Source organism: Homo sapiens, chromosome 16, assembly GCF_000001405.40.
Source record: "Homo sapiens chromosome 16, GRCh38.p14 Primary Assembly".
Lineage (NCBI taxonomy): Eukaryota > Metazoa > Chordata > Mammalia > Primates > Hominidae > Homo > Homo sapiens.
In genome coordinates, this window is record NC_000016.10 from 85,216,105 (window position 1) to 85,235,501 (window position 19,397).

Consider the following 19,397-nt stretch of genomic DNA (forward strand, 5'->3'; position numbering starts at 1 on the left):
GGGTGGCCCAGCCCAGGGCTTCTGCCCCTTCTCTCTCGTTCTTCCACCATCATTCCGACCCCTTAAAGGGCTTAAAGGTAAAGTGCTCCAGGAGTTCAATACCATATTGGGCAACATAGTGAGACCCCATCTCTACAAAATATCAAAAAATTAGCCAGGCATGGTGGTGTGCACCTGTAGTCCCAGCTACTCAGGAGGCTGACTTGGGAGGATCACTTGGGCCCAGGAGATGGAGGCTGCAGGGAGCTATGATCCCGGCACTCCAGCCTGAATGACAGAGCAAGACCCTGTCTCTAACAACAAAAGATAAAGCACTGTTATTACCAGCTCTCTCTATTACCATATCTAATAGTGATATAATGTTATCTGATTATAATAATTCATAGCTAATATAATATTTTTTAAGTAGTCATAAGAAATAGAAAAACTTTAGCTTACCACACGTGTCAGGAACACAAACTGACGCCTATGACCTTCACTTCATACCCAGGAGGTTGGTACTTTTCTTATCTCCCTGGGACAGATGAGAAATTGAGGCACAGGGAGGTTAAGCTGTTTTCCCACAGACACACAGCAGGTGTAGAGGCTGCATTTGAGCCTGGGCTGTGGGACTCCCAGCACCTGCTTAGAGGTGCTGTGTTCACCTCCTCCAGCCTCTGGGGGACTCCCTGGCCTTGGGCTGTTTCTGGGGCTGTCCCTGGAAAGATATAGCACTTGCTGCTCAAACCCACTCCTGTCTCTTGCCGGCTGCCTGGCTTTGAGCAATCTACAGAACTCAGTTTCCCCAACTGCAGAATGAGTTTGCAGCACCCCCTCTTTGGGTTCTCTTGAGGAATGGGTGAGGTGGCCTATGGAAAGCGGCAAGCCCCTGATGCTTGTGTGGGATGAAGGAGCGGGGCGCTGTGGTTGACACAGGGCCGTAGAGGCGAGTGGCTTGGATTTGGGGCCTTGGCTGCGCCAGGTAATCCTGAGATAACCTTGGGCAACTGACTCAGCCCCTTTCTGCTTCCGTTTCCCCATATGGAGCGTGGGGGTGATGAGAGTAGCGACTTCACAGGTGTCTGGGCGGGTGTCAAGCTCCCTGTGACGCGCTGCCTTGCATAGGCGCTCAGCAAATGCTGCACATTGGGACGATGGGGGAAAAGGGTGGGAGGCAGGAGGAGGGGACTGGGGCAGGCCCTGGACGGGATGTGCCTCTCAGAATCAGCTTGTTTTCATTTCTGTGCTGTGTTTGGGGTTGGGAGCGAAGCCTGGTCAGGTGGGCCAGAAGAAGCCGCCACGCCTGGGACCATGCGAAGGCTGGCGATCCCTCCAGAGAACCGTGTGCCCTGCAGAGTATGAGAAGGTGGGAGCTGGAAGGTCCCTGAGCCAGCGGCTCCTCCATTCTCTGAGTTTGACCAGGGGGATCCCAGGCTCAGAGAGTGCGTGACTTTCCCAAAGCCACATGGGGAGTGCGTGAGAAGTGATGCTGGGTGAAATGGGGGATGATGCCCTTGCCTGGTTGTGAGAGTTAAATGCGTGAATACATGGAGAGCGTTCAGGACAGGGCCTGTGGGAGGAAGTGCTCAGTGAAGGCCAGCAAGCAGGAGTATCTCATTCCCTGCCTCAAAGCCGAACAGCCCAGCGGACTTTCCTAAGCCCTCCTGTTGCCCACGTCATTTTTCCCTGCTGCATCCTCCCCGAATCCTCTTCCTCCTGCCTCCTCCTCGAAGCCCTCCCTGACTACCACCTGTGCACTCCCTGTCCCCAGTCAGAAGTCCTTCCAGCCTCTTCTTTTTTTTTCCAACAGAAATTTATTTTTTATATATATTTTTTGAAACAGAGTCTTGTTCTGTTACGACGCTGGAGTGCAGTGGCGCGATCTTGGCCCACTGCAACCTCTGCCTCCTAGGTTCAAGCAATTATCGTGCCTCAGCCTCCTGTGTAACTGGGACTACAGGCACGCACTACCACACCCAGGTAATTTTTTGTATTTTTAGTAGAGATGGGGTTTCACCATGTTGGCCAGGCTGGTCTCGAACTCCTGGCCTCAAGTGATCTGCCCACCTCAGCCTCCCAAAGTGCTGGGATTACAGACATGAATCACCACGCCTGGCTCGTTTCAGCCTCATCTGAAGCTCACTGTGCTGAGGTGGTTTTCTCCTAGGGTTTCCACTGTAAGTCATGGGCTTGGGGGTCCAGAGCACCAGGTTTGAGCCCCAAGTCCGTGTGTTACCCTGTGACTCGGGATGGGCTGCTGAACCTTCCTGAGTCTTCATGGCCTCATCTCTAGAACACAGTGCATATTCTCAGCTCCTAAGATTCTTTGAAAGAGAATTAAACCCCTTCATTGAGTGCATGTTTATGGAGACCTGCGGAGTGCCAGGCACACTTCTGGGGCTGCACGTGAAACGAGACGTGCCGCTCGTAGTGGTAAAACGCGGCCTTTGGAGCAGTGAACCTGGGTTTGAGCTCAACTCTGCCACTTGCTACCTGTGTGACCTCCCAAACTGCTTTCTGCCTCTAGGCCTCACTTTCCAAATCATATGGAAAATGGGAGTAAGAACAGGCCTGTGGGAGTCCAGCAAGTGACGGGCCCAGCTCTGCGCCTGGCTCACCCATGACCTGCCTTCTGCAGGTCCTGCTCTGTGCGTCCAGCTGGTCTTGCGTCTACTTCATCTTTGCTTCCACAGCTTCCAGCGTGCAGTAGCCAGGCACCCTTTGCATATTTTTTATAAGAACCAAATGACCGATTGAATGTCACATGTCCTTCCTATGTATTCTGACAGTCCATGCGGATTTTTCTTTTTTTTTGAGACAGAGTCTGGCTCTGTGGCCCAGGCTGGAGTGCAGTGGTGTGATATCGGCTCACTGCAAGCTCCACCTCCCGGGTTCACACCATTCTTCTGCCTCAGCCTCCCGAGTAGCTGGGACTACAGGTGCCTGCCACCACGACCGGCTAGTTTTTTGTATTTTTAGTAGAGACGGGGTTTCACCATGTTAGCCAGGATGGTCTTGATCTCCGGACTCATGATCCGCCCACCTCAGCTTCCCAAAGTACTGGGATTACAGGCATGAGCCACCGCGCCCGGCCTAATTTTTGTATTTTTAGTAGACACAGGGTTTCATTATGTTGGGCAGGCTGGTCTCGAACTCCTGACCTCAGGTGATCTGCCTGCCTTGGCCTCCGAAAGTGCTGGGATTACAGGCGTGAGCCACCGTGCCCGGCCAAAAGGACTGCTGCCCATGTGGGTTTTTTAAAAAAATGAATTATATTTTGACACTTTGGTTGGATCCAGAATAATCTTTGTGGGGAGCTGGTTAAAAGTAGCTTTGGAGCCCAGGACAGACCTACCGCATGAAGCTGCTGGCCTGGGGCTGGCCTGGGTCCTACCTGGTCAGGGAGCCTCGGCCCTCAGGCCAGCTGTCTTGGACCACCTTGCACTCTCTAGAAAGCCCCCTCTTGACAGCATGAGTACACTCACTGCACGGCCCAGAAGAGACAAATGTTCTCATTCTGCTTCCATCCCACCTCCATCTCCGAATGTCGCCTGTGGCACTTTGAGTGTTCATATCATGTCCTCTGCCTCCGTGCACCTGACCTGTCTCCTGTGGTCATTTCTTTTCTTCTTGCGTTTTCCAGAATTGTATTTGGAGCCCCTCCTTCCCCCTTCTGCAAGCCACAGCCCCATGACTATGGGACCACCAGCTTTGCTTTATGCCCAGTTTACAGATGGGTTCACCAAGGGCCCCCAAGCCGACGTCTCTTTGTTTCTGGCCTGGGCCAGGGAAGGCAGGCTCTCCTGGTCTCCTGGCCCTGCAGGTGACAGGACTTCCTTTGGAACAGGTGGGCAGCATTTCCCAGGGTGACCCCAGCCTGGAGGATGGGAATCCCTGCTGCTATTTTCAGCTGCTTCAGGTGGGCGCTCCCTTCTCCCATGAGCCACAGCTGCCCAGACTTGGTGGCCTGTGTGTTCTTACATGATGTCAGAGCATCCTTCTGGCTGGGGGGCCAGCACCCCACCCTCGGCCCCTCACCCTTTCTCAAGGAGCACGGGGAAATCCCAAAACATTTTCCCCTCTGGGCCAGAAGCAGCTCGGCGTTACCCCGCACCTGGGATTTCAAGAGCTCTTCCTGGTCCGCTTTCCAGTGGGTGGCTGTGAAAATGGCACTTGGTTTCAGTTAGGAGCTGGGGGCAGGCGGGGGTCTGGTTTCCCTGCTCCTGGAGGAATTACCGGACCACATGTTGCCAGGAGCCTTGGCTGGGAGAGGCAAGCGAGGCTCCAAGCCGGCGAGCGGGCGGCGGCGCAGATGGAAACTCGATCACCCCCGGCTCAGCAGACTGTTTGATTTATTTTAAAATCAAGCAGATGGCTGCAACAGGGGTTTGTTTAAGTTCAGCTCAGAGCCGGGCCCGCGGCCAGGAGCCTGGGGCAGCTGTGCCAAAAATTTTTCAATGACTTTGGTCGTCAAACCACCTCTTCCCCTCCCTTTTGAACTTCAGCCTCCCCACACAGGCGGGCTTCTCGGGCCTGCCCGCTGCTGCCCGCTGCTGCCCGCTTGCCCTGGCCCGTCTCGCTTTGTCTCTGTCTTGCTGCCTGGAGTCCCTGGCTTTGCCACTCTCGTGCTCTCTCGCGCTCTCTGCACCTCTGGTGTCTGCCTCTATCCCTTTCTCTCTCCTTGCTTCGGTTTCTCTTTTTTTGTCTCTCCATCTCTCTCAGTATGTGTCTCTGTCTCTGATTCACTCTCTCCCACCACTTCCTCCCCATCCCTTTTCCGTTGCAGGAAACCTTCCCAAATCGTGCCCCCCACTGCTTCCTCCAGCTTCCTCCTACCTTGCCCCCCACCCCTCCTGCCCACCCCCTCCTCCAGTGGCCCCTCTCCCCCTCCCTGGCCCAGCAAGGCACATGGGAGAACAGCCAAGCCTTTGTGGGGATTCAGCGTCCTCCGGGCTGCCCCCTCTCCGAGACCCTGCGGCTGGGAAAACCAGGCCCCCAGCCGTAAAATCCTGGAGTCGACCAGACCTCCGAGGTCAAGCGGTGCAGCCCCCGCCCAGAGGCAGGGAGGCCAGGGGCACAGGCCTCATGGTCACAGGGTCGGCATCTGCAGCTGTCCCTCCCGTGCTGGGCGGGCGGGGGGCCGGGCTGTGCGAGGAGCCCCACTGTGCGGCTGGTTTGCCAGGGAGGTCAGCTGCAGGCTACTGGCCTGGTTCACACTTCCCTAGCGCGCACACACACACACACACACACACCCCAAGTACATGCACACACACACACCATGTACATATACTACACACACCCACATGCATACACACATACCACATACATACCCTGCATGCATGCATCCACGTGTGTGCACATGTGTACACACACACACACAGACGCACACAGACACACACTGCTTATGAGCAGGGTACGCCACATCCCTATCCCTCTACAGGGATGACCTGGTCCCCTGTTCACATGGCAGCAGGTTCCCTAAACCAGGCACCACCCGTCCAGCCCCAACTCCCCAGCCAGGGCTGCCCCTACCCACATCCCCTGACGAGGCCAGGACGTGCCGCCTGAATGGTCTCGGCCCCGGCTTCCTAAACAAGATGAGTGTTTGAAACAGCAGCAGCCCTTTAAGCCCAGAGCCAGAGAGGCCCACTTTCCTTCATGTCCAGGCAGGTGGGGGCTCGGCCCCCAGACACCCTGGCATCTCGGGGTGGGGTATGGATGGCACACCCTACCCCTTGCCGGGGCTGGGGGCCAGAGCCCACGTCAGTCCCGCTTGGAGCCCTCATGTTTTCCGCCTCTGATGGAGAGGCCAGCTCTCTGTTGATCTGAGGGAGTTGACTCAGCTGCCCCTCCCGGTCCCCGCCCCACAGGGTCACCGGTGACCAGGTGGGCTGGCCTCAGGGAGGGCCGGGGAGGCCCACAGCAGCCTGGTATCTGTCAGCCTCGGGTCTGCTGGGAGCCTGGGGTACGCAGGCCCAGGGCCTGGGGAAGGGGACAGGACACTAGTCCTCTCCCTCTGGGCCACATCTATTCCACGAGAGGATGGATGCTGGCACCCACTGCCCCTCCCCGCTCCCTGTGGCTCTGGTGGAGCAGCCTCCTGCACTTCAGTGTAGAGGCCAGCCTCTCCCTCCAGTGAACTCTGCCCTGAGCGGGGCCCACCAGACCTTAGGGACAGATTTGTCCAGAATGTCAGCATGGGAGCCCAGGTCCCGGGCTGGGGCCAGCGCACGGCTCTCCAGCCCAGGCAGGCCTCGGCATTGGTGGAGAGGTCCCTTAGACCACAGGGCGGGCTGGAGGCTATGCCCCCTGCTTGCGTGAAATGGGGTCGGCACATTCCACTTGGGGATTATCTTCATGGTCCAGTGCCTTTGAGTTAGGAGTTCTCCAAGACGTGCCTGACGGTTCACACCAGGCCACCAGCAGCTTCAGATCTTGGAAAAACACCGCCAGGAGGCTGATAGCTATTTTTCACAATAGCCAGTTCCCACCCCCAGCAGCCATGCACCAACATCTCTTTGTCGGATCAAACAAATTTGGAAATCGTAATGAATTTTACTGCCTCCTCCAACACAAATGAAGTCCAGGAAACGGAAAACGTGGCCCAATTAAAAACGTGTCTCCGTCTCTGCGTGGACTGCCGGGAGGAGATGTTTCTCATTGAAGATGCCCTCTCCGAGGGTGGGGAGCTTTTGTTTATTGATTTTCTGTCTCACTGGTCTCCCGCTGCTGACGGGCCTCCTCTGCAGCAGAAGTTTGGATCCATGCGGAGCTTCCTTCATACGGTGGCTTTTCTTCTGTTTTCTTACCATTTTAGTTTTGCATGCAAAAGAGGAACATAAAAATTGAAAAACTGTCTGCTATATATCCAAAAATCATGCTTGCAGAGTTCTTCAGAATTTCATTTTGCAGATAGTCTTACCGGACTGCTTCCCTCTAGTTTTGTTTTTTTCTGGTTAGGCATGAAGGAGAGGCTCTGTTCTCAGGTACGGGGCCGGCGGAGTCAAGGCTGCCATACCCATTTGTCTTATCTCAGGAAGAGGCAGAAAAAAGTCTTCAAGCCTATGGTTATTATAAATCCTACACGCTCCTGAATTCAGTCATGCCAAATGGAACCAGAACCATGTTTTTAACCCTTTTAAAATTGTGGTAAAATAGTCTGGGCACGTTGGCTCACGCCTGTAATCCCAACACTTTGGGAGGCCAAGGCGCGTGGATCATTTGAGGTCAGGAGTTCGAGACCAGCCTGGCCAACATGGTGAAACCCCATCTCCACCAAAAATACAAAAATTAACTGAGTGTAATGTCCTGAGCCTGTAATCCCAGCTAATCGGGAGGCTGAGACAGGAGAATAGCTTGAACCCGGGAGGTGGAGGCTGCAGTGAGCCAAGATCGTGCCACCGCACTCCAGCCTGGGCAACAGAGCAAGACTCCATCTCAAAAAACAACAACAAAAAAATTGTGGTAAGATACACGTGACATAAAATTTGCCACTGTAACCATTTTATTTTTATTTTTTGTTTTTTAAATGTATTTATTTTTAGACAGTCTCGCTCTGTCGCCCAGGCTGGAGTGCAGTGGCGTGATCTCGGCTCACTGCAGCCCCTGCCTCCCGGGTTCAAGCAATTCTCCTGCCTCAACCTCCCGATTAGCTGGGATTACAGGCTTGCGCCACCATGCCCAGCTAATTTTTGTATTTTTAGTGGAGATGGGGTTTCACCATGTTGGCCAGGCTGGTCTCAAACTCCTGATCTCAAGCGATCCACCCATCTTGGCCCCTCAAGGTGCTGGGATTACCGGCGTGAGCGACCTCATTTGGCCCACCACTGTAACCATTTTAAGGCACACAGTTCAGTGACATTTAGCCCATTCACAAGGCCGTGCAACCACCACTTCCCTCCATTTCCAGAACTTTTATCATCACCCCAAAAGGAAGCCCCAGCCCCATTATCAGCACCATTTTCAAGACATTCTGGAGGCAGAGACACTTCCTCCCTTGGCGATTCTGGGGGCACGTGGCGCATCTCAAAGCCCCAGGAGAAGGAAGTGTTGTCCGGTTCCTGTGGGAGAGGCCCTGTCCCACGATGCTGGTGGGGAGAAAGGAGCACAGGACCTCTGTAGAAAAACCTGCCCTTGAAGGATGCGCATGAAAAGCGAGAAGGCGAGGGAGGAGGAGGGTTTCATAACCCTTATGAAACCCTATCTCTACTAAAAATACAAAAAAAAAAAAAAAAAAAAAAAAAAAAAAGGGAACACACAGGGGCGGATTCCAGGAGCCAAACTCATTAAAAAAAAATTCTCGATCTGGTTGGCAGCTGATAAACTAATATTTGGGCTTAGCTCAAGGCTCTGCAAATTAGTGTGGTTGGTTCCAGTTCGGGTTTATAGCTTAGTTCAGTTGGAGCCTGACTCTCTAGGTTCCTGGATGCTGAGCTTTTGGCAGTATCCAGACTCATTCATTCATTCATTCCACAGAGGTTCCTTGAGCATCTACTATGTGCCGGGCACTGTTCTTGGTGATGGTGGTGTAGCCGTGGACGACAGCTCCATCCCTTCCCCTGCCGAGCTTACCTTCTGATGGCAGGGGAGGGGGGCACTTGGTTTGCAGAATGCAGAAATAAGTTGGCTGGGCGCAGTGGCTCACGCCTGTAATCCCAGCACTTTGGGAGGCTGAGGTGGGCGGATCATGAGGTCAGGAGTTCGAGACCAGCCTGGCCAATATTGTGAAACCCTGTCTCTACTAAAAATACAAAAAAAAAAAAAAAATTAGCCAGGTGTGGTGGCACCTGTAATCCCAGCACTTTGGGAGGCCGAGATGGGCAGATCACGAGGTCAGGAGTTTGAGACCAGCCTGGCCAATATGGTGAAACCCTGTCTGTAGTAAAAATACAAAACAAATTAGCTGGGCATGATGGCATGTGCCTGTAGCCCCAGCTACGTGGGAGGCTGAGGCAGAAGAATCGCTTGATCCCAGGAGGTGGAAGTTGCAGTGAGCCGAGATCGCGCCTCCAGCCTGGGTGACAGAGAGAGATTCCCTCTTAAAAAAAAAAAAGAAAGAAGTAAGTGAATAGTAGACCACGTGGGATCACAGGGAGCTGAATGCAACACAGACATCACACACACACATACACAAAGCTGAAGACACAGTTGAGGTGTTGAGCAGACACTCTGGGAGGACTGCCCCATAGATTCTGTGGTTGGGGCCCTCTCTGCAGAGCCCAGGGTGGAGCTGGGGCTGGCCAGGAGAGGGGTGTTCCTGGCAGAGAGCAGAGCAGTCAGTGCAGAGGGCCCGAGGAGGGAACGGGTGTGGGGCTTCCTGGGAAGAGCAGGAGGCCAGCAGGGCTGGAGCAGTGAGCACAGGGGCTTTGTGGGGGGTAGGGATTCAGAGGTCAGCAGGGCCTTGGAGCACTTAGCTCACACTCCGTGAGAAGGGTCCCCAGGGAGGTGCAGCCTGATCCGCATGAACCCTGTCCCTCCGCTGCCGGGTAGAGAGCTGCTGCAGGGGCTGGTGCGGTCACGGTCTTAGGGAATGCGTGGAGCCCCACAAGGATACATTCATTCCCCTTTCAGGTGTCTTTGGCCATTCTGACACCACTCTGTTTCACTGCACAGAGAATCTTGGTGTGGAATTATTGTCTTCAGAGCCTCTCAAACACTTGCAGTATTCGTAATGTATTGCTGTGTAACAGAATACCTCAAAACATTGTAGCCTAAAACAATAAATCTTTATCATCTCTCAGTTTCTGTGTGACAGAAATTAAGGAGCAGCTTAGCTGGCTGCTCCCACACAAGGTGCCCTCATCAGCACGTCAACTGGGGCTGTGGTCTCATCTGAAGGCTCTGCTGGGGCTGGGGGATCCACTGGCCGGGTGGCTCTTTTGTGGCTGTTGGCTGGAGGCCTCAGTTCCTGGCCATGTGGGTCTCTCTAGAGGGCTGCTGAAATGTCCCCACATTAGGGCGCTGGTTTCCCCCTAAGCAAGGTGGATGCTGCAGTGCCCCTGATAGCCTGGTCTCAGAAGCCACACCCTGCCACTCCACCATACTCACTTCCTTAGACACGTGTCACTGAGAAGGTAGGCACGTCAGAGGATCCATGGACATGTTCCGAAACCACCACTGGCAGAGAGGCCGTCTATCAGGAGTGATATCTGGATGAAATGGGGTAACACTGCTTGGTTTCCCAGGACCTCTTTTTAGGGTTACATTTCTATTTATGTTGCTTGATACTGATTGCCATTTTATGATAGTCATCTACAATTTTATTTTAATTTATTTAAGCTTAAAGAGTGAGTTGATTTAAGGAAAATTATGAAGTAAAAAATATTAAGTAAAGTGATGGTGAAGGACAAGTGGAGGGAGCATGCCAGGATGCAGAGGTGGGGCCTGACCAAGGGGGCTGCTGGCAGCATGTGACTCTGCAGCCAGATGGCCTTGGTCGGAGTCCTGGCTCAGCTGCCTACAGCTGTGTGTCTGCAGTGGGCATCTTACGTCCTTGGGCCTCGGTTTCTTCTTAATAAGGTGAGGGAGCAGGCTGCTGCCGGTGCTGTTGTGAGGTTTAGATAGAATGGAGTCTGCACAGGGGGCTCGGCATGGGGACTGGCATGATGGGTGTCCCCTGCTGGGAGGTGGCCTGAGCCTGAGCCTCCCTGGGCTGCCTGTGGTGCTGCCTGGACTGGTGTGTGTGTGTGTGTGTGTGTGTGTGTGTGTGTGTGTGTGTGTGTGTGTGTGTGTGTGAAGGAGGACGAAGGAGCTAGCACCCCTCTGTTCCTCTGAGCAGTGGTAGCACTTGGTGAGGCTGGGGGAAGACTTTGCAGGCTCTTCATCTGGCCCGAAAACTGAGGTTCTCCTTGCAGGAATAAGTCAGTCAGGTAGCGGCCATCCCCACACCTAGGGCCCACCTGCCCATCCAGCCACCCACGCATCCCCTTTCCATCCATTCACCCACCCACCCATTTTCCTTTCATCTTCCATCTGTCTATTTATATACCCATTACCCATCTTTCCTCAGTCCTTCTTTTCATCCATCCATCCATCCATCCATCCATCCGCCCACCCATCTGTTCATTGGTCCGTCTATCCATCCAATAGGCAGTGGATTTTATGCTGAAGACATAGCAATGAACAAAACAGCCCCTGCTATCAGAGAGCTCCAGTCTGGTTGGGAAGGCCTGTTCTTCATGCATGAATGGAGAAGATGGTTAGTCATCCTGCAGTGGTTTAGTGAGCACCTGCTGTTCTCAGTGAAGGCTACTGCACGCAGGCCTCTTCTCACGGACCTCAACGGTGGGTATGTCCAGAGGATGAGGTGCCAGAAGGGGCTGTGATCAGCTCTATCTTGCAAGGGACGAAGTACTTGAATGGGCTTTTGAGGGATGTGCAGGAGTTGACTGGGTGGGTGAGAGATAAAGGGCGATCCAGGTAGCAGGAACAGCACAGGCAGGGCCCAGGAGGCATGAGAGTGTGGCGAGCATGGGAAAGTGTAAGCAGCTGGGCAGTCTCTTGGGAGAGCAGCGGGGAGGTTCTTGCAGGTTGGGGCTGGATGCCGGGTGGTTGGGTCACTTGAGGGAAACATTGAGGGTTGGGGAAGATGAGGGCAGGCAGAGAGGAAGTGGGAGGGGAGATTCATTTCAGGGCAGCCGCAGGCTCTGGAGCACCCACCATAGTCTGGCTCTGCGCTGGGCCCTGGGAGATGGAGATTGATGGGTTGACTGATTGATTCATTCATTCCCTCACTGTTTGCTGAATGCTGGCCTCATGCCGACCGGGGGATACAGCAGTGAACAAGAGAGGGAGGGCCCTACCTTCACGGGGCTCACACTTGAGTCAAGAGCATCAAACCTGAAACAGATCAACGCAGAGAACCCCGTGCAGGGGAGTGAAACAGGGAATACCTCAGGAGGGGGTGTGGTGGGGAGCAGGGCCTGGGAGGGCTGGGAGGGCCCCTCTGTGGAGGAGGCAGCAGTCAAGTGGAGGGGCAGTGGGCGAGTGGCTCCCTGGGGACGGGTGATCCAGGAGGAGGGAACAGCACGGGCAGAGGCCCCGAGGCAGGAGTGAGCCTGGCTGCTGGAGGAGCAGCGCTGAGTCCCGGCCCCCGCCGGAGGAGCCCTGTCACTTGGCTCGCAGTGAAACATGAGTCAAGTCTGGGGGTAGTGTCAAGAGCTACAGACAGAGGGCTTTGCGACGGGTTTGTTTGGTTTTCTTTCCTGTGGCTGCTGGGGAGCCATTGTAGGTTTTTGAGCAGAGGAGGTTGTCCACACTGCTTGTGGCCAGCAGCGTACAGGATTAGATAGGAGGGAGAGGGCAAAGCTCTGGGGCCAGGAGCTTCGGGGAAGGCTGAGTCAGTGCGGCGAAGGCCCAGGCTTCCAGGTCAGCTGTGCCTGGGTTTGAACCCCCACCCTGCTGTGGGAGGTGGATAGGGTGTTTACGCTCCCCAGCCCTAGTGTGCTTTCCTATAAAATGGGAATAATAATATCGCCTATCTCTTGGAGTTGCCGTGGGCATTCCAGGAAGTGTTGCGTGTCAGCAGTACAGTCCCTGCCTGCAGTGTATGCCTAACGGGTGCCGTTTTCCAGGCCCCACGAGAATGGCATGAATTATGGGTCACAGGCACAGACGGGCCAGAGAGCAGATCTGCCGTGGCTGGGTGGCTTTGGAAAATGAGAGGGCCAGCGGTGACATATGCTTGAGCCCAGAAGACCAGTTGGCAGAAAGCATCTTCTCAGAAAAGGAAATTGTGCAGCAAGATTTGAGGCCACCTTCTGCCTCAGTTTACCCCACTAGAAGGCACCCTGGGGCCTTTGGTCTTCCATGGAGAAGGAAAACATACCCGAAGGAGTTAAGCCATCCCAGCCTTGCAGCCTGTTCTGAGCTGGGCAGGACCTGGGCATCCCAGGAGGGAACAACTGTTCCTGCCTCACCAGATGGACGTCCACGCTGGGCCCGTGGGAGGGTGCGACACTCGCCATCCCCACCAAGGAGGAAACACATCCGCTGGGGAGTTGTGGAGCACAGCCTGCAGCGTGGGGGTGGCGGCATCGTGGGAGCAGGGGGCTGAGGTCTCCCTACCTAAGAGGACGCCCCCCTTTGTGGGTTCCAGCTGAGATCTGGCGCGGCACCAGCGGCCTGGCCTGCGGGCGGGTAGGGGGGTGGCAGCCATGTCGGGTTGAGGGGGTGGCCCTCCCTGCAGTCAGCGGCAGGCCGGAGCCAGCTCTGGCCTTGGCAGGGCGGACACGGTGAGAGTCAGCTCCACCTGTGCCGTGTCAAGGCCGGGAGCGGGCTTGTGGCTGCCGTTCAGCTCACTGGGGCCTTGGCCTCTGCACCCCTCTGGCCTTCCCTGGCCCACCTGGTCCGTCCTCTCACTCCGCCCTGCCTTCTCTGGCTAGTGCGGCATCCAGAGTCTCTTGGACACTGTCTATGTGCCATGCACCGTGCTAAGTGTTTTCATGTGTACTAAACGATTTCATACTCACATGAGTTCCATTCTATAGAGAAGGAAACTGAGGTTCCGAAACTTGCCTGAGGTCACACAGCCAGCAAGTCGTTGAGCTGGGATTTGAACCCAGGCAGGTTGGCTCCAGAAGCCGTGCTCTTAACTGCTTCAAGAGACTGACTCCTGAAACCAATATTCAGTGAGAGTGGAAAGCGCAGTTCGCAGCTCCAGGGTACAACAAATGAGCTTTTCCTTAAATCAGAGTAAATCCAAATGTGATTCTCTTGGTCCTTTTCTCATGGTTGCGAGATAGCTGCCACGGCTCCAAACATCACATTCTCACACGATAGCATCCAAAAGCAGGGTGAGAAGGGGGTAGAGGGCCCTCTTGCCCTTTTCTCTTTAGGGGAAGAAAGTGTCTCCCAGGAGGTTTGTGCAAACCTAGGTCCAGTTGTCCAGGGCTGTGCCACATGCCCACTTGTAATTGAAAGGGCTCTGGGAACGTTATCTGCCTCCTCAGGCTCTGTGGGGGGCAGGCTGGGCCAGTATGGCTGCTGCGTGGGCAGCTGAGTCCCCTGCTCCATCATGGGTTCTCCCAGGAGCCCTGCACTGTAAGTGGTGCTGTCTGCATTTTACACGTAGGAAAACTGAAGCTAATTGGTTGGGGTCTTGTCTGGCCTCCTTTAACCCCATGCTGGCATTGAGTGCCTGTGCCGTCTGGTTTGTAACCTCATTGTTTGTGTTTTAGAACTGCTGCTCCAACCGGCAGGCAAGGACAGGGCTTATTTATCTTTTGTGTGTCCTCTGGCTCAGGGCTAAGCTTCTAGAAGGTTCTAAATCACTTTGTATTATATTGAAAGGGTTTGTGTTACCCACGCCCCTTTCTTTTTGCAACTGACGCAAACCCAACTCAGACTCACTCAAGCAAAAGGGGGTTTACTGACTCGTGTAACCGATGGGGTGACATTGGCTTCAGCCTCTTGGATGCAGGACTCACTGGCTGTCTCTAGGCCTCTACCTCTCCCTACTTCGCTCTGCCTTTTGCTGCGGGGGTTCATTCTCCAGCAGGCTCTCCTCGCATGCTGTCGGAGATGGCCACCAGCAGTTCTAGGCTGACGTCTAGTGATCCTGGACATGTGGGGAGAGATTCTTAGCAAATACCCAAGGGCAGATTATGACTGGCCTACCCCGGGGCACATGCCGTGTGTATAAAGGGGGAAAGGGGTGTATTAACTCACAGTCCTCCTGGGTTGGAGAGGGACAGATGCTGATTAGATAAAATGGAAAAGTTCCTTACTACAAATGAGTGTGTGGAAGACTAGATGGATGGATGGATGGATGGATGGATGGATGGATGAGTGGACGGACAGAGGGATGGGTGGAAGGATGGATAGAATGGAATGGATGGATGGATGAATGAATGGATGGACAGACGGATGGATGGATAGATGGATGGACGGACGGACGGATGGATAGAAGGACAGATGGATGGATGGACAGATGGATGATGGATGGACAGAAGGATAGATGGATGGATGATGATGGATGGATAGCTGGACAGAGGGATGGATGGATGGATGGATGGACAGATGAATGGATGGATGAAAGGATGGATGGAAGGATGGATGGATGGATGGAAGGATGGATAGAAGGACAGATGGATGGATGGATGGATGGACAGATGGATGATGGACAGAAGGATAGATGGATGGATGATGATGGATGGATAGCTGGACAGAGGGATGGATGGATGGACAGATGAATGGATGGATGAAAGGATGGGTGGATGGATGGACGGAAGGACAGATAGAAGGACAGATGGATGGATGGACAGATGGATGATGGATGGACAGAAGGATAGATGGATGGATGATGATGGATGGATAGCTGGACAGAGGGATGGATGGATGGATGGATGGACAGATGAATGGATGGATGGAAGGATGGATGGATGGATGGATGGATGAATAGATGGATGGACGGAGGGATGGATAGAAAGATGGATGGCTGAATGAGCAGATGGTTAGACAAAATAGACAGGTGGAAGTGTAGATGAATGAGTAGATGATAGATGGACCAGTGGTTAGATGCACGGGTGGAATAGAGGGGTGGCTAGTTGGATGTAGCCCCCTCTCCCTGCCTTCCTTAGGAGCTCTCTGGGCAGAGCTACCTGTGTGATGATGACCATGTTGGGTCTTCCTCTTGGTCAGCAACCTGTCTAGGCTCTGAAGCCCATTTAAACCTTCATTTTTGTATCAAGGTTATTTCTGCTCTTTTCTCTGTGTCAGAATTACTGTTGTCTCAGCCTAAAATGATGCCTGGTTATCTGAAAAAAGCTAGAAGGCGAGGAACTTGCAAAAGCAAATGAAAAGTCATCATGGTGCTGGCCTCTGGGGATACCCAATGTTGACATCTGGTGGGTGTCTCTCTGGTGGCTCTTTTCTGACCGCCATGAATGCCAGTGTTGGCTTGCCCCCCTGCCGCTGTTTAGGGAGTGCCAGGCCTCAGGGGACCTGGGCCAAGCCAGGCTCACTCCCCCACAGTGAGAGGCGGTGCTGGGGAGACATAAAGCAGCAAAAGCCTTCCTGGCAGGCAGACCAGAAGCAAGGCGTTGGCCTTCGATACATCCCTTGGGAGGTAAATGTTTGTTTCAACAAGGCCACAGCGAGCCAAGCATTTTTATGACTCCTTCCTTGGGAGCTGCCTTCTGAACCCCAAAGAACATCCAAAGAGAAGCTGTGGCCACAGTGTGCTCCCCAGGGGCCTCACTTTGAAAAGGCCAACCCTCGTTTATCTGAAATTAAATGTTCTGTCCACTTGACATCTACTCCCCTCGGACCTCCACCTTCCCAGGGGGAGGATGGGAACCCAGGCTACCCCAGGAGGACTCAGGCTCTGACATCCTCAGATGGGTGGATGGACAGGGGCTGATGGTGTGGACAGGCTGTGAGTGTCCAGAGTGAAAGAGGAACGAGCTGCTCCCTGGTGGCTTTTCCTGCTCAGGGTGTGGTCTCGGGAGCAAAATGGATAGACCCTCCAGAGCCCTGGTCTCCTGCCATGTGGCCCAAGGGAGGCCCAGCAGACCCAGCTCCTGTGTGAGGACTGGGCAGGAGGAGGTGGCTTCCCCTCCCATCGAGGTGCTCCTTGCTAGGCTCCAGCCAGTGGGGTCCTGCGAAACAACAGTCTCCTGCCACTGTATGTGGCTCTTCTGCCCAGAGCGCCAGCTCCAAGTCTCAGCTCAAAAGCCACTTCCTCCCGGAGGCCTCGCTGACCACCCCAGCTTTCTTAGCTTCCTTCCACCCAGGTTGCATTTTCAGGATCTCAACCCTATGTTAGGATTCTTTCTGATCCAAATGAATGAATGAATGAATGGTCCCAGGTGTGAATTAATGAATGGCTCCAGGTGTGAGCGTGCAAAGTGCATGAGCCTGGGCAAGGTCCACATGGCGGGGGCCACGTGGGCGTCAAGGTGGGCAGCTGAGGTCAGAGATGGCAGTCGGCAGTCGAGGGCAGGGAGACCTTTGCTTTGGTCCCAGTGGCCTTGCTGGGGCTGCTAGCCCCATGGCTCCAAACAGGCCCCCCAGCTGGGCCTTGTCCTCTTGAATGAAATGCAGAGGCAGCTCCAGTCCTGGTCTTCTCATCCCCGACAGTCCCCCTTGCTGTTTCCCTCGTGGGACCCTGTGCCTGCAAAGGCGAGGTGTCTACCCAGCCTCGTTTGTCAGCCAAGCACTCATTCATTGCATCATTTCGTCTTCTTAATCAAATCACTATCCACCCACCAGGTGTTTGCGTGGGGTGAACAGCCCAGTGCCTGCTAGGTTGACAGAATTGTCACCAAAATCAAGGGTACCTGAGTTGGAGCCAGGCTGGAGCCCTCAGGTGGAGGCTGGGCGGGGTGGTTCGGCCTTTGGGGAAATTTAGAACAGTTCCAGGGCCCCGTTCTCTCCTCCTGAGGGGTGGGAACTGCTCTGACAGCTGCATATGCACACATGTGCCTGTGTGTTCATGTATGTTCATGCACACATGTTGTACAGTGTCTGGATGCTTGCATGTATGCGGTGTGTGATATGTGTCCACGTGGCGTCTGCATGTGTGGCCTCTGCATGTGTGTGTGTGCATGTGGTGTGTGTGGATGGGGGGTGTGCGTGTGGATGGGTGGTGGAGGCAGTGGGAACAGACACACTGACAGGGACTTTCTTGGAATGATTAATGGTTTTTGGAAGGAGGCAGGCATCCATCAGACGCTCCTGGCAGGTTCTCAGCTGGCACTTTGCTGGCCTCCTGGCTGGACCAGCCCAGGTGAGGCTGCCTGCTCAGCCCAAGTGGCCTGGGGAGGTGTAGGGAGCCCCTTTGGAGCCGACACAGGTTTGTTCTGTCCCAGGGCCCTCCTACCCCTGCCCCCTGTCCACACATGGCAGGGATCACATGGGCAGGAGCACAGAAGGCGGCTCCTCAAACCTGAATGGGCCCCAGAACCAGCCCCCCAGCCCCTATATAACAAAAGCAGATTCCAAGGCCCCCTTGGGAACTCAGGTTCAATAGGACAAGACCAGGGCGAGGGAATCTGCATTTTAACAACCATTGTAGGCGTCTGGTTCTGGTGGGCTTTGAAGAACCCACCTAGTGCTGCAAGGGAGTCTTGGTGCAGGCCAGGAAGGTATCCACTCCCCGCCCTCCTATATTTGCCCCTTAGATACCCATCCCCTGGCTCCCTTTTGCTGAGTGATGCTAGGCTAGTCACTTTACCTCTCTGGGCTACTGCCTCATTTTGAAACCAGAGTCTCCTCTCTTACTAGCTTTGGGGCCTCTCTGGGCTCCACCATCTTGGTCTTGGTCTGTACAGTGGGGATCACATGAGCACCACCTCCCCAGGTTCTCCGGCTCATGGAAGGAGTGAGTGAGCACAGGGACCGCTCCAGCAGCAACTCTGGATAGTGACGTTTCCTGCCATTGCTATTCTCTGCCCTGGAGACGGATGGGCGGTTAGGTGGGGCGGGGTGGCTCTGAGCTAGCGGATCCCACTAAGGGTAACAGATGCCTGCCAAGCACTTTCCATCCCTGTGGGCTGTGTCCTCATTCCCAATTTACAGACAGGAAAACCAAGGCTCAGGGAGGCCCTGTGACGTTCCCAACGCCAGGAGGCCCAGGAGGGCAGATCTCAAAGCCGCTGGCCTCACACTGCCCTTGACCCTCTGCTGGACCAGGGGAGAGGCTGAGGATGCCGGCCCCGCCCCGGCTCCGCCCCCGCAGCAGCAGGGAGGAGCCGGCAGCCTTGGGAATGCTGGCGGGTGGGGTGGAGGCGGTGGGAGCCGCGGCCGCCAGCGAATACGGCCCAGCTGGGGGATTAGAAGGCATCTGGCTCAGTTTACACCAAAGAAACAAAGGCGGCTGCCGGCGCCTTTATCTACTGCGGAGGGGCGGGGGTTGCCCTGGGCCCCGCCGGAGACCCGGATACTAGAGAGAGAGGCCAATCTGGGCCCTGATCCCCCTCCTGGCTCCTCGCATCCCCAGGACCCTCAGAGATGGGACCAGACATCTGTAGATGGGGGCGGGGTGTTCCTGGGTGGGGTGAGGTGGAGGGGCAGGGGTCCTAGGGGCCCCAGACTCCTCACCGCTGCCCCTCCCAGGCAGCTCCGCCCAGCTCGAAATAGGGGTGTCCTTTCTCCCCAGGCTGGGGCTCTCAATTACTGAAAGGAAACATCCAATAAAACAAAATCAGAACAAGCTCCCAACCCCCCGGCCGCCTCTGGCTGCCAGGCGGGGGTGGGCTGGCCTCTTCCCCCACTGCTGGGGGGTGACGGCTCCCCAGGCGAAGAGGGGTTGGTTCTGGCCCCCTCACCCCCCTCCCACCTCAGAGAGGCCTCTCCTCTCCAGACCGCAGCGGGGGGTGGGGTGAGGGGGGTGATGGAAGGGTACTGTGTGTGTGTGTGTGTGTGTGTGTGTGTGTGTGTGTGTGTGTAGGGGGTGTGTTCTGGCCTCCCATCTCCCT

At 54.9% G+C, this 19,397-nt stretch overlaps 1 protein-coding gene across 4 annotated transcripts in view, besides 11 other annotated features; it reads left to right on the forward strand.

Moving 5' to 3' along the window:
- GSE1 (Gse1 coiled-coil protein) overlaps positions 1 to 19,397 on the forward strand; it is a 506,689-nt gene that overhangs the window by 46,593 nt on the left and 440,699 nt on the right. The gene's annotated exons all lie outside the window — the stretch shown is intronic.
- Positions 5,061 to 5,762: an enhancer, noted in NCBI's record as "H3K27ac-H3K4me1 hESC enhancer chr16:85254771-85255472 (GRCh37/hg19 assembly coordinates)". NCBI's record gives its function as "activates a minimal SCP1, AML or CMV promoter by ChIP-STARR-seq in primed H9 embryonic stem cells {active_cell/tissue: H9 hESC(primed)}" and the evidence as "EXISTENCE:reporter gene assay evidence [ECO:0000049][PMID:30033119]".
- Positions 5,763 to 6,462: an enhancer, noted in NCBI's record as "H3K4me1 hESC enhancer chr16:85255473-85256172 (GRCh37/hg19 assembly coordinates)". NCBI's record gives its function as "activates a minimal SCP1, AML or CMV promoter by ChIP-STARR-seq in primed H9 embryonic stem cells {active_cell/tissue: H9 hESC(primed)}" and the evidence as "EXISTENCE:reporter gene assay evidence [ECO:0000049][PMID:30033119]".
- Positions 9,218 to 9,317: an enhancer, noted in NCBI's record as "active region_11265". NCBI's record gives its function as "activates an Ori minimal core promoter by ATAC-STARR-seq in GM12878 lymphoblastoid cells {active_cell/tissue: GM12878}" and the evidence as "EXISTENCE:reporter gene assay evidence [ECO:0000049][PMID:35858748]".
- Positions 9,744 to 9,906: a silencer, noted in NCBI's record as "fragment chr16:85259454-85259616 (GRCh37/hg19 assembly coordinates)". NCBI's record gives its function as "represses an EF-1alpha promoter that drives an FKBP-Casp9 reporter gene in an ReSE screen in HepG2 liver carcinoma cells {active_cell/tissue: HepG2}" and the evidence as "EXISTENCE:reporter gene assay evidence [ECO:0000049][PMID:32094911]".
- Positions 11,075 to 11,184: an enhancer, noted in NCBI's record as "active region_11266". NCBI's record gives its function as "activates an Ori minimal core promoter by ATAC-STARR-seq in GM12878 lymphoblastoid cells {active_cell/tissue: GM12878}" and the evidence as "EXISTENCE:reporter gene assay evidence [ECO:0000049][PMID:35858748]".
- Positions 11,195 to 11,544: an enhancer, noted in NCBI's record as "active region_11267". NCBI's record gives its function as "activates an Ori minimal core promoter by ATAC-STARR-seq in GM12878 lymphoblastoid cells {active_cell/tissue: GM12878}" and the evidence as "EXISTENCE:reporter gene assay evidence [ECO:0000049][PMID:35858748]".
- Positions 11,887 to 12,462: an enhancer, noted in NCBI's record as "H3K4me1 hESC enhancer chr16:85261597-85262172 (GRCh37/hg19 assembly coordinates)". NCBI's record gives its function as "activates a minimal SCP1, AML or CMV promoter by ChIP-STARR-seq in naive H9 embryonic stem cells {active_cell/tissue: H9 hESC(naive)}" and the evidence as "EXISTENCE:reporter gene assay evidence [ECO:0000049][PMID:30033119]".
- Positions 12,099 to 12,393: an enhancer, noted in NCBI's record as "tiled region #4907; K562 Activating DNase matched - State 8:EnhW". NCBI's record gives its function as "activates a minimal TATA promoter and a strong SV40 promoter by Sharpr-MPRA in K562 cells {active_cell/tissue: K562}" and the evidence as "EXISTENCE:reporter gene assay evidence [ECO:0000049][PMID:27701403]".
- Positions 17,726 to 17,892: a silencer, noted in NCBI's record as "fragment chr16:85267436-85267602 (GRCh37/hg19 assembly coordinates)". NCBI's record gives its function as "represses an EF-1alpha promoter that drives an FKBP-Casp9 reporter gene in an ReSE screen in phorbol 12-myristate 13-acetate-treated (for megakaryocytic differentiation) K562 erythroleukemia cells {active_cell/tissue: K562(+PMA)}" and the evidence as "EXISTENCE:reporter gene assay evidence [ECO:0000049][PMID:32094911]".
- Positions 17,975 to 18,832: an enhancer, noted in NCBI's record as "H3K4me1 hESC enhancer chr16:85267685-85268542 (GRCh37/hg19 assembly coordinates)". NCBI's record gives its function as "activates a minimal SCP1, AML or CMV promoter by ChIP-STARR-seq in primed H9 embryonic stem cells {active_cell/tissue: H9 hESC(primed)}" and the evidence as "EXISTENCE:reporter gene assay evidence [ECO:0000049][PMID:30033119]".
- Positions 19,343 to 19,392: a silencer, noted in NCBI's record as "silent region_7802". NCBI's record gives its function as "represses an Ori minimal core promoter by ATAC-STARR-seq in GM12878 lymphoblastoid cells {active_cell/tissue: GM12878}" and the evidence as "EXISTENCE:reporter gene assay evidence [ECO:0000049][PMID:35858748]".